Source organism: Homo sapiens, chromosome 3 (assembly GCF_000001405.40).
Source record: "Homo sapiens chromosome 3, GRCh38.p14 Primary Assembly".
NCBI lineage: Eukaryota > Metazoa > Chordata > Mammalia > Primates > Hominidae > Homo > Homo sapiens.
In genome coordinates, this window is record NC_000003.12 from 138,233,403 (window position 1) to 138,247,011 (window position 13,609).

Genomic DNA, 13,609 nt, shown 5'->3' on the forward strand with positions numbered 1-13,609 from the left:
AGCTTCAAATAATGTTCAACAAAACACTGCTTATAGCAGTAAAACATTAGAAACTACCTAAAATATACAATGGGGGTTTGTATGAGCAAACTATGGAGTACTGTATTGTGATTAAAAATAAGAAACTCAAAGTTAGAAAATATATGGAAAAAGAGAGAAATTGCTGAGTTTTTTACAGATTCTTTTAATAATACATAAAATATTTGGGGATTGTTACCTATAAAGTAGAATATGATGGTCGTGCTATTCAGAAGTACGAATGCTAATTTCCCCACTTCAAATGATGGGTGTTTTGGCTCAAGAAAGAACGAGCATCTTCATGACAGTTGTTACTTGCTTAAATAATGGGTTGGAGAAATTGGTTTGAGAGCACTTGCTGGACCAATAACTGGTTTCTTTTGGGGAGCCCAGACCGATAGCCAACCTTTGTGATATTTTTCTCTTCTGAGTGATGATAAGCATGAAATATCATCCCTGTGTTGGCTTTAGCTGATTTTTCATTAATTGATTGGATAAGGTTGGACATAAAATGAATGAATAAGAATTATGGCAAATTTGAAGCTTTGCATTAATTTTAGCTTCTGTCACTTTGAAGCTCTTTAGTACATTGATTAGTAGAAAACAGAATTGATGAAAAAAAACCCTTCATTTTCCTATCTCTTTACCTTCCTACTCTTTTAAGAACCAATACTTTTTTGTTTTTGTTTTTGTTTTTTTTTTTGAGACGGAGTCTCGCTCTGTTGCCCAGGCTACAGTGCAGTGGTACGATCTTGGCTCACTGCAGCCTCCGCCTCCGCCTCCCGGGTTCAAGCAATTCTCCTGCCTCAGCCTCCGGAGTAGCTGGGGCTACAGGCATGCGCCACCAAACCTAGCTAATTTTTGTATTTTTAGTAGAGACGGGATTTCACCATGTTGACCAGGATGGTCTTGATCTCCCAACCTCCTGATTCACCCCCGGCAGCCTCCCAGAGTGCTGGGATTACAGGTGTGAGCCACTGCGCCTGGCTGAACCAATACTTTTAAAAAGAAAAATGAGATAGAAATATGGAAACCAAAACACGTTGTTGTTCATTTCCCAGTTATGGAGTGTTGTGTTTCCCACTATAGCATTATTCAGACCTCCCTGATGTGTTAAGGTAGGTTAGTTTGTGGTCCAGTTCCTTTTACAATTCATTTTTAGAGTTCCCCTGACTAGCTCATCAGTTCTAAGTTGTAACAATGACTCTGCCACTGTTTCCTGTGGGCATAGGGCAATAATGTGCACATGAAATGCAGAATTCATCGTGGCTCTATTGCTGTGGTGGCATTCTATTTAATAATTGCAGAGGACTTGGGCGTTCTATTTAATAATTGCAGAGGACTTGTGCCAACATAGCTTCTGGGCCCACTTCTATATTTCTAGGAGGTAAAGAGGCAGCATTTCTAGAACTGGAATGAGTTAAGATATGGTAGCCCTTTGCAGGACTAAACACAGTGTTTGTGCTGCTTTTTGAGGTTTGAGTTTATTTAAGCAAAGAGTAACAGGATTCTGTACTGTAGTGAATGTGGTTTTCTACATTTAAGTAAATGTGGTTTTATTGGAATGAGTCATTACTCTTCTAAATATATTGTTGTATTCTTTTTTCTTACAGGGGCCAGATCATCAAACAATTTTATTTAACCACGGTGCAGTTCAGAATATTGCTCACCTACTAACCTCACTGTCCTACAAAGTAAGATGTTAAAAATTGTGGCCAGATTTGTATACCTTGTTTGTGATTTCTAGAAACAGACCCACATATTTTTATTGTTTCTTTGATAATTGTGATCAAAAGTAGTATTTTATCAGTAAAATGTTATAGGGCATCATTTTAGCTATAGAATGCTCTTTAAAAAAAAAAAAAAAGCTGCCCTTGCATCTCTTTTTTAGGATACAGTTGTACCATGAGTTCTTATTGATTTGCACCCATTAAATTTAAAATCTTTTTTGGATAGCTACCAGTGCCATGATGCCTTGAAGTATAGAAGCAGTGGCTTTCTATATCAAGAAGGAACAGAATTTCATATTTGAGACCTTTATTTAACCACAGTGTCTCAGACTTAGCATATTCCTGCATATACATCAGCATTTAAAATGTGTTATGTTTTGTATTTTTAGTTAAAAAGTAAAGAGTTTCCAGACTTAACTAATTACGTTTTCTTTTATATATGAAAGCAAGCAGTGTCATATTACCAGGTGTTGAGTTAAAACCTTCGCCATTCATTGTTGTCCATCTACAAGTTGTAGCAAATATTGGCATGTAGTCTTTAATTGTGTAACATTAGAGTTGGGTATTGCAGGAGTTACTTGCAGAACAGGGAAGCAGTCATTTTTGTCTTCTGTCCTCTTGCAGTGACTCCATTCTGTCCTTTTAGTCTTTTTTTTTTTTTTTTTTTTTTTTTGAGACAGAGTCTCGCTTTGTTGCCCAGGCTGGAGTGCGGTTGCACGATCTTGGCTCACTGCAAGCTCCGCCTCCCACGTTCACGCCATTCTCGTGCCTCAGCCTCCCGAGTAGCTGGGACTACAGGCACCTGCCACCACCCCTGGCTGATTTTTTCTATATTTTAGTAGAGACAGGGTTTCACCATGTTAGCCAGGATGGTCTTGATCTCCTGACCTTGTGATCCGCCTGCCTTGGCCTCCCAAAGTGCTGGGATTACAGGCGTGAGCCACCGTGTCCGGCCTGTCCTTTTAGTCTTTAAATTTATTTCAGGTAGGGCCTACTAATGTGTATGTTTTCCCTACCTCAGCTATCTAGTTTAGTCTTGGTAAAGAGCTCATAAGGATAGGAATGGAGAGTGGAACTAACTTCAAACTAGCCAGAGGCAGGGGAAATAAATATATACTGAAAGGTACCTCCTCTTTCCTGTGCCATGCAAAGGCTAAACCAGTCAGCACTTGCACATCAAGAAACAATTGTTTGGGTGGCTGTTTATTGTTCCTTTACTTCATCTCCTCTAGCTTCATTAATTCCCCCAGCTCTTCCTCCATTTCTCCTATCTTTTCTGCACTAGACTTCCTTATTTACTATAATGATTTGAAAAACCTACAGGTTGTGGAAAGGGGACTAGTCTGGTAACATTACTCTTCTGCCAGGGTTTGCTGTATTACCAAAGTGCCATTAATGTATTCTAGGTTCCTCCTGTGGGCACATGCTAGTGCTGCAGAGCATTGCCCAAGTGAGGGGCAGGGCTTCTTCATACCCCAGCTACCTATCCTGTGAGTGCTTGTCAACCTCAGGTTCCACATTAAAACATCATGTGTAGACTCAGACTTAGAAGTGAGGATTAGATTGGATTAGAATGGAAAGAATTAAAAAAAAAAAAAACATCTCTTAGGAGCTTCTGGAAATTGTAAAGCATATTATATATGGTTAAGGATTGGGCCCTTGGTATTATCCCAAACCAGTAACCTAGTTTTGAGGAATAGTAGCACAATTCATGGGTGTTTTAAAAGTTAGCGCTTCTTAAATTTTATTGTAATATTGTTTCCTCTCCTTCTGTTCCCTGTCTCCAATCCATACATAAAAGTATTCTATTTTTTTATTCGCTTTGAAAGCCACTTGGTAATTAATTGTTACTAAGTTCTCTTTGTCTTACCAACTGTATTTTGTATAGTGTTCTTTTAATTTTGATTAGGGATTTATCTAGTTAAATTTAAATTGCTACTTCCTGATTTTTTTCCTATTCAAAATTAGTTCTAACTTTTATAGTTAATTTTAACTTACTGTACTCTGCAGCTGTACAGGTGTTATTGTTATTTCTTTGAGGCCTGTTAGTATTTTAAGCAGATTTACATAATTTTTTAGAAGAGTTTAGATTCTGAGACATTAAAATTTGCATTTGCAGAATTAAACACATTTTTTGTTTGTTCATTTATTTTTACAGGTTCGAATGCAAGCACTGAAATGTTTCTCAGTTTTAGCTTTTGAAAACCCCCAGGTATCGATGACCCTGGTAAATGGTAGGCTGGAGCTTTCAGTGGCACCTACATGATTTAATTGATGAACTTTTTAGATTTAAAGAATTTCCTTAATCATTGTTGTTTGTTTTATTTCTAGTTTTGGTTGATGGAGAATTGTTACCACAGATTTTTGTGAAGATGTTACAGAGGGATAAGCCTATTGAGATGCAGCTCACATCAGCAAAATGGTAAAAGTCAGGACAATGTGGGAAGAAAGACAGTGCTTTATCAATATCTTAGAGTATTTTTGGACAACCAAATTTGCTTGCTTCCAATCCCCATTTTATTTTGAGATTTTGAAATTTGAAAGTCAGGAGTCCATCCCACATTTTCTTAAATGGATGTGAGTTTTTTATACTCAGCTTATTACTAGTAATATGCAGAACAGGAACTCTCGTATAACATCTGAGACTGTCTTCAGAAAATTACTTTATTACATCCTCAAACTACTGTCCTTCTACTTCAGTTGAAATAATACTGAATTAGATTAGATTTAACCAACATATACTATGCTAAGTATTAGCCAGGGAAATACAAAGATATAGAAATATGGAATGAGAATTAGTTGAAGTTGATAACCAAGGGATGATTTCAGAGAACGTGGCTTCCTCATCTTTTAAGGAAAAAAAAAAAACACAAAATCTTCAAAAGTTGTGATGGTTTAGAAGATACTTATGCAAAGGTTTTTTTTTTTTTTTTCTAGACGGAGTCTCACTCTGTCACCCAGGCTGGAGTGCAGTGGCAACTATCTCGGCTCACTGCAACCTCCGCCTCCCAGGTTCAAGCAATTCTCCTGCCTCAGCCTCCTGAGTAACTGGCATTACAGGCACATGCCACCACGCCTGGCTAATTTTTGTATTTTTAGTAGAGACGGGTTTCACCATGTTGGTCAGGCTGGTCTCAAACTCCTGACCTCGTGATCCACCTGCCTCGGCCTCCCAAAGTGCTGGGATTACAGGCATGAGCTACTGTGCCCAGCTGCAGAGTTTTTATTAGCACAATTTCTGGCTCATGTAAGCATTCAGTGCATGTTCTGTAATTATCAATACATGAATGGGTGTGTTGAGCACTTGTGTAGGGTTCTGTGCTAAGTTTAATCTTAGTATTTAAGCTGTGGTTCTAACATTTTGGTGAGAATTTGGCATTTTCAATGAATTACTCATGTATCGTGAATTGTTTGGTTTTTATTTGTTTGTATCATTTTTTGCTTTTTGTCTTTAAAACTGAGCATTTGCCTCTGTCAGTAAGGTAATGTTCTAAAGTAAATGGTTTCAGAAAAACAATATGGTAACAAGCCTCAAGATAATAACAACTACAAATATTTCAGCCGTCTACAATATAAGTAAAATGATTTTACCTGTTTATAACTTTCGGTAGAAGCCAACGTGAGATGTTTTAATTTTTTTCCCCCATCTTGCTAAAGGAATGTAATCAAAAAGGAAATTCATTAATTTAAATTTCTGAAGCGCTTAATGTTCAGCGCCTGCCTGGGGAATAAAAATTAATTATATTCTTATTCAAAGGCAGCTTATAATTGTTTTTCAGTAGAACCAAATTATTGACTCGTTCCCAAAGCCCCTGCTGTTAACCTCTGAATAGTTCATTTCTGATGGATAGCTGTGTTACAAGTTAAATGCCTCTTCTGTGATACTTCTACTGCATTTGGAGTTAGAATATTCCAACTTCATTTAAACTGAGATAATGTGTTCATCTTATGTTTCATTTTGAACATTTTTCCCTTTTTATTATGGAAAATTCTGAAGTATAAAGAATACAACATGTGCCCAGCACCTAGCCTCAAAATGTGTCCATCATTAGGTTATTTATTTTTAAAACTATTTGGTAGGTTTTTGTTTCATTTTGTTTTTTTAAATATCTGGCTTACCATCTGTATTTGTCAGTTAGTTTTCTTTGACTATTAAATTGACTGAACCTCCGAAAAGCGAATTGTCAAAATCTTCACTCTCAAGATAAGTGATATTATTTGGTTTTCGATTTTTTAATAAAATCTTAAAGGCAAATAATTTTTCATTTAAAGCTTTAAACTCCAAGCAAAAACTTATTTTCTGCTGTCTTATTCCAGTTTAACTTACATGTGTAGAGCTGGAGCAATTCGGACAGATGATAACTGTATTGTATTAAAGGTAAGCTAATTAATTATCTTTAAAATGTGAAAATTATCCAGTTATGTGTTAAATATCAGTATTGATACTCATATTTCATTTTACACATTTATCATTATGATATATGTGCATGGCGTAGAATAATATTGAAAGACCATGCTTTCTTTTCAGTGGATGTCATATAGTTTTTAAAAATTGATTTTAGATGTGTTTCGAAAGTCAGCGTGAAATAATTATTTCATTGTCACAGCCTTTCATTTTATGGTAATTAGGAGGATGTGGAAATTGTAAAAGTGTACAATTCAGGTGAAACAGAAAATATATTTCGTTCTTGATTGTCATTAAATTTGTACTACAGTTTTAGAGGCAGACGATTTGCCACTTTTGCAGAAAAAGACTTTATATCATTCTCATAGCTGATAATCAAAAGGCATAATGAAAGAGAATAAGTAGATAACACATGAAAACAAGCATTGTCATTGTGATATGTCATATACAACTTGAATTTAGAAAAACCTGGAGAAAAGACCAGCCCTAAAAGTCCTAAAACCTGGATTCTGGTTTTAGCACTCCCACCTCTGACTGTACATCCTTTATTCTTTTGATGCCTCGGACTCCAGATTATGAAAATTGAAGCAATAATTCCTGCTCATCTATGCACAGGGTTATTGTGAGGATAACAATATATTAAATACATTAAAATGTCTTATTAGCTATAAAAAATTAAGTATAAGTAAATTGATGATGTGTCATTTTATAAATATGAGATCTCACATTATCATTGTTCAAAAGGTGATCCCAAGGATAAAAGAGCACAAAGAAGACTAATATTTGCTTTAGTCTTTGGGGAAGAGAATTAATTTAATGAGATCTGAACACTCCCTAAGTAAACAACTCTTCATAGAGTGCCACGGACTTCCATAGCATTTATCTTGATTTATTTACTTCTCTAACCTTCCTCTTTTTCTGCATTGGTAAAATGTTAGTAGTATATTCTTCACATAGTAGTCATGAGCATTAGATTACATAATTCATGAATTTATGGTATCAATAAATATTAGTAACTAGTAATGTTAGGGAAAAAAGAATAGGGCCTTCCCCTTGGAAACCTAGGGTTGAATTATAAAGCTTCTACTAGCCTAATAGGAAATTAGTAGTGAACGATGAAGTGCTAAGCTCTGTGGTAAAAGATATAATAGGAACTTATTATATATAAAAGAGCAAAGCACAGTTGCCTGCAGTATTTGAGGAAGACTTTCTATAATGATAACATTTCAATTTATACTTCCACATTGTCCTTTCAAGTGGATCCGTCAGGCTTAGAAATAGTAAATGTCGTTCGAGACCAGCCTGGCCAACCTGGTGAATCCCCATCTCTACTAAAAATAAAAAATTAGCCAGGAGTGGTGGTGGGTGCCTGTAATTCCAGCTACTCAGAAGGCTGAGGCAGGAGAATTGCTTGAATCCAGGAGGCAGAGGTTGCAGTGAGCCGAGATCGTGCCATTGCACTCCAGCCTGGGCGACAGAGCGAGACTCCGTCTCAAAAAAAAAGAAAAAGAAATAGTAAATGTCTGTAATATTTTTATTGAGAACCTAATGTAGATAAGTTACCAAACCATTGCCAAGATTTTTGAGGGACCTCAGAAGTAAAATTGGACTCATGGATACCACTGCTAATTCCAGCAAGTTACTGGGAAAACCTAGCAACTGTGATACATTTCAGTTGCATTATAGTAGAACTGGTGGAATCTGAGTAATGGTAAGATCACTGCAGTTTTAAAGCTGTATTTTGTTTTGGCAACTGTAGGTATGACTCCCCAAACCAAAAAATAAACGATATTACTCACTAAGGAAGAGATAGCATACTTTTCCTAAGGCAAAATCATTCCTGATTAAACTGCTGGGTCTTTTTTAGGTAAATAAATAGATAGATAGGGCAGAACCATCAGACATGATTTGTTAGGGATTCTTAAATGTCTTTTACAAAGTTGTACAATAAAACTTGTCTTATCGGTCCCAAAAGCCTAATTAGAATTTGTATTAATATACTTTGACGTACGAATAGAGTTTAATGTGCCAGTACAAATTATTAATGTGTACTGAATTTTGCTTGTTTTTGCATTTTAAAAAAATCTTTTATTCTCTAGAAGTCAGTAAAGGAAATATATGATCATAAACATTACTCCTGATAAAAGCTATTGAGTTGATTCAGTCACTATATGCTTAAGCTTTTACCTTTACCAAAAAGCAAATAATTAATCTCACTACCTTTCAGACATTACCTTGTTTGGTTCGAATGTGCAGTAAGGAGAGATTACTAGAGGAGAGAGTTGAAGGAGCTGAGACACTTGCCTATCTGATTGAACCAGATGTTGAGCTACAGAGAATCGCTAGCATAACTGATCACCTCATTGCCATGCTTGCTGATTATTTCAAGTATCCCAGCTCAGTGAGTGCCATCACTGATATTAAAAGGGTATGTTATTTTCCTTTTTTAGCAGCTCAAGGGAGATTTTTCTAAAGTTTTTCTTACTGTTCACAGTTTTGAACCAATTGATAACTACAGCTTAAAGCCCTTTTAAATAAAGGTTCTTTTATCTTTGGTAACATAGATAATATTGCTTTGTGAATTTTTGAATCCAAGTTGTTTAATGTTTATTGTCAGAAAGTTTTTACTGAGCAGATAAGCAATAAAGAAAATTGCATCCTAACTCCCCAACTAAACCTCAAAAGTAGTGGATTCTCCAAGCTGGGTATTGACATAACCGTATAATCTTATTCTTGGTCATGGAATCATCTCTGTTGTTACATTCTCATTCTTTAGGTCAGGAGTAATCTTTTTGTTACAGGAGACTAAGTTGTCCCATGTTACTTTCCACCACAGTCTATTTTGTTACCTTTCCCTATCTTCTCTTTTTCCCAGTTTCATACTGTGCTTTGGGCCTGCTAGTGACAGCTAAAGCATCATTTAATCTTGAATTTGGGACCAAAAAGGCCAAATTGTGCTTTTTCTGAAAACCTAAGTTCCTTAGAATAGATCGGTATTTATTTTGACTTGTTGCATCTCAGCCTGTTTGCCCTATCCATTTCTTTAAGCATAGGAGATGAACATTCTGTAAGAGAAAGTTTATTCAAGGAGGTCATGGTAGAGAGAACATTGCCTCTTAATTAGTAGCCAGTACTGTTTCATGAATGTAACTGTATTTTTCATGCCAGTGGTTCCAATGGTAACTATTCTCCTTTTGACCTCTCCCTCATGCTTTTGAGTTTCAAAAAACCTCATTTGGTAGGCAGTTGTTCATTTGGCTTTTAACTTTGAAAATAAAGCAAACTATTAAGGGTATATCTTTACTCTGTCTTAAGAAGGGCCTAAAATAACCTTCACTGGTATTTGTATTAGTAATGTACTCTACTCTCTGGGTATTAAACTTATGTGTCTGCTCTTCTTTCAGTAGTGGTGTTTTTCCAGTAGAAGTGATGGGTTACATACATTTAACCAGTTGCCTTGTCTGTTTTCCTTCTGGTCATTTTTTCACACTGACACTGTATCTTACCAATACAAAGATACATGAGCAACCCTTAGCTACTGCCTCATGAACGCCCTGAGTTGACCACCCCAGGAAGGCAAATAAAATGTTTTGATGGCCATGAGAGTAAGGAAACAATTTTAAGAACATGTAGCCTATGCATATGCAAATCATTTAACTAGTACGTAGATTATCCCTTCTGTTAGTTTTTCCATTTCATTTCCATCAGAGTAAAACTGTAACAACAATAATCCTTAAAAATGACATCGTAATACCAAACTTGAGTAATAGTTTGTTTTGTCATCTTTATTTTTGATGATGGATTATCCAAAGGTTTCTGACCCGAAAAGTATAGACACTAGACCCGTAAAGAGAAATCTTCACATGTTAATAAATTTGTGATTTTCATGATATGTTAGTTCAAGTCAGTATTATATCTTAATTTATGACTAGAATGTAGTTAAGACTTTAAGAGTAGATACTTTTAGAACTTATCAAAGTGAGTATTCTGTATTGGGAAGTTCTTCCTATAATCCATCAGTGTCTGCTTTGAACAGAAGTTTTGGAACTATTAAGAATTGCCTTCAGAGCCACCCCAAATTATATATATATGTAAAATATATATATTGTCTTTTGCTTTCTGTGGAATTTTTTGTTACCTACGTTATATTACCCAACTGAATTTCTCCATCTTCACACACAGTCAGTGACAACTAAAAGTCTCATCATTGATCAAGCTATACCACTGTCAGTGTTTTCTAGCTAATAATACCAGTTAGCTCTTTAGGAAGTTTCAAAAGAGGGTCTCAGAATGTTATGAACAACACCTACATCATTGGATGAGTGAACCTTTCCAAAGTAACTTCTTTGGGAAAAGTGGTATTCATTTGGATGATTACATTAAGGCTTTTAGTTACGAGGTTATTTATATTATTGGTAGACTTTGTATAGTTACTTGGTCATAGTCAGTCATTGAAAGTATCCTGAAAATATGCTTCTGTTTTATCTTTACAGTAGTTTGGTGATCAAGTTTATAGAAGAGTTGATAATTAGTTATGCATGTTTAAAGATACCATTAATTGCTTCATGCTGATAATTTTGATAATGTTCTTGAAAAAACCCATACCCAACATAAATCTCAGATAACTGTAATAGATAATAATGGTTACCATAGTATACGGTTTGTTAAGCATTTTCACAATGGGTTCTCTGTTTCTAAAAGCTTTTTATTTTATTTATTTTTATTTATTTATTTATTTTTGAGATGTAGTCTCGCTCTGTTGCCCAGGCTAGAGTGCAGTGGCGCGATCTCGGCTCACTACAACCTCTGCCTCCTGGGTTCACACCATTCTCCCGCCTCAGCCTCCCAAGTAGCTGGGACTACAGGCGCCTGCCACCACGCCCAGCTCATTTTTTTGTATTTTTAGTAGAGACAGGGTTTTATCGTGTTAGCCAGGATGGTCTAGATCTCCTGACCTCATGATCCATCTGCCTCGGCCTCCCAAAGTGCTGGGATTACAGGCGTGAGCCACCGCGCCCGGCCTCTAAAAGCTTTTTAAATGCCAAAATTAGGCCAGCACTACTCTTAATGTTTCAGAAAATTAAGGGAACCCTCCTAAAGACATTGTTGCGATTTCATTCAGGTTATCAGCTGTAGTCTGGGGCTAGAGAAGTCCAGGTGTGCCTTCTTTTGAAGGAGAACATTTCAAAGAGCTGCTGCAAGCAAGCATTAGTGCCAGTAAAGCTACCATTTAGGAACACTGAATTTTTCGGAGTCAGAGATTCACAATGGTTTTTCATATATCAGTGTCAAATATAGTGTTCACTTTTAAATGGAAGCATATTGTGTGCATTTTAGGTCACATTGATACGAACACTGCAAAGTCTCAGTGCTATGTGAACAGAATCCAAAAATAACTGGGAAATGTAGTTAATGACTGGGAAATTCACTAAAATCTAAAAGTTGTAAACTTTTTTTTTCTTCAACTCAGTTAATGTTATTGAAAGTTGAATTTATGGACTGAGTTGGAACATATCCTTTTTTTCCCCATAGCTTGATCATGATTTAAAACATGCTCACGAACTCCGCCAGGCTGCATTCAAGCTCTATGCCTCTCTTGGAGCAAATGATGAAGACATCCGGAAGAAGGTGAGTCTGGGAGAGGGGCGTCCCCCAGTCCTGACAGCCAGCAGGCAGGGAGTGACGTCAACCTGAAAGTCGTGGTGAAGAGCACTAACAGTGACTGTTTGAATATAATAAAGCAGAGTGACTAAAGGCATAATTGAAGAATGAATGGGACCCGGATTTGGGGGGTTGTTTGTTTGTTTTTAGAACATAGAGTGGCATGGCCGTGCTGGAATGACAAATAACTGGCGTGCTTTTTTTTTGTGTCATTAATATGAATTATTATGTTGCACATTTTTGCATGTGTTCTGATAAAAATCAATTCTAGCACTGTGAAGCTTCAGACACCTTGAAAGTCCTAACATTAGAATTGTAAATGTTATTTATGGAAATACCTTCCAATGCTATTGAGAAATTCAAATCTCTATTGTATATTGTTCTTTGATATGTGGCTTAGTTTTATGTTTTGATTTTTTTTGCTACTGTGCAAGTTTAATGTGAATAAAATCTTTGTGGAATGATGATTTTATGTTTAGTGAGTGGTCATCTGAATTTTCCAGCTCCCCAGAAAATGTATGCACTGGTATAGCACCCTTATGTTACTAAAGCCTAGTCTAACACTGAACTCATGTTCTTGATGAGAATACTTCTAGATGAGGAGTATAGTGGTAAGTAAGCTCTGACTTGGCTCCTTCCACAAACCAAAAAGCTGGAACTTACCACTCAAAAACATGTATAACCTAATAAATTCTACACAAGGCTTTCAAGACCATCAGAGAGCAAAACCACATGTTCTGTCTTGAGGAGCCATAGCAGAAAGAGCAAATTAGTCATTATTTACTGAACATGATGATTTACTAAATCTCTCCATCTGCATTAGTATTTTAAGGAGCACTGTGAGAGAAATCACAAAGTATTAGAGTTTACCATGATTCAGAGAAGTTCTTCAGGCCTGTAGAAAGAGGAGTATGGAACAACCTTACATTTGTTGAAATAACTTGAAAAGGAACCATTTCTTGAAGAAACTGAAGTAATAGCAATAAGATTTGATGTGTGAGTAGCTTTGATTTAAAATCAATGCAAAAAGCACAACTAATAAATTGAATGTTTCCATGTACCTCACTTTATTTCAGTTAACAAGATACTTTGACTTGAAGTGTTTTTAGTGTATCCCTATGAAAATCATTTTTGGTACATCTAAGTTTTCACTTATAAACTGTTATTTCAAAGCAAACATACTAGTGATATATATATGATTTATGGATGTTGACGCCAATGTTCAGTTTGGGTACGTTGGTGTATTGCAAGGGGAGAGGCTTTTATAACAATAGATTTGAACATTTTTAAAAAATTGGACTGTGTAACTTAAATACACAATTATTTGGTTTAGGATGGTTATTAGGGCCCATTAGAAACAGGAGAAGTATTTTACCCATTCTTAAAGCTCTAAAAAACCATCTCATGGACTGAAAGGTAGATAGACAGATGGACCACAATGGGAAATAGGATGTCCATTTGTACTTCTTTGTACTTTTTTGTTAATAAACTGTTTTGGAATTAATGGCTTAATTTGTGATATCATGTTCTAGAAATACCTGCAACATGACAGTCTAATCAGTAGTCTATTAAAACTTGTATTCATAATGTGTATAATTTCCTGGTAAGGCTAACTCCTGATCGTTTCTGTAGAAAGATGACAAATAAAGAAAAAGTTATAATTATTAATTATAGTTTTTTGTGTGGTAAAGCAAAGATACTGTGATATTATGTAATGGGGCTTATATAGCATTTTAAGGAAGATATTTAATTTCTGGGAAATTAAGTGTTTGAATAATTTACAGTTCATAGTAAC

General features: G+C 35.8%; 1 protein-coding gene across 16 annotated transcripts in view; it reads left to right on the plus strand.

The window, feature by feature from the left end:
* The window catches only part of ARMC8 (armadillo repeat containing 8), a 111,142-nt gene that overhangs the window by 46,155 nt on the left and 51,378 nt on the right, over window positions 1–13,609 (plus strand). For 12 of the 16 annotated variants that reach the window (XM_006713565.3, XM_024453441.2, XM_011512632.2 and 9 more), the window contains 6 exons: window positions 1,632–1,712; window positions 3,907–3,982; window positions 4,080–4,170; window positions 6,066–6,126; window positions 8,381–8,581; window positions 11,686–11,781. In XM_006713565.3, the coding sequence (XP_006713628.1) occupies window positions 1,632–1,712; window positions 3,907–3,982; window positions 4,080–4,170; window positions 6,066–6,126; window positions 8,381–8,581; window positions 11,686–11,781 (606 nt within the window). Of the gene's footprint in view, window positions 1–1,631; window positions 1,713–3,906; window positions 3,983–4,079; window positions 4,171–6,065; window positions 6,127–8,380; window positions 8,582–11,685; window positions 13,486–13,609 lie in introns of those variants that run through there. The other 4 variants (NM_213654.3, NM_014154.4, NM_001267042.3 and 1 more) reach the window with 3 other exon arrangements.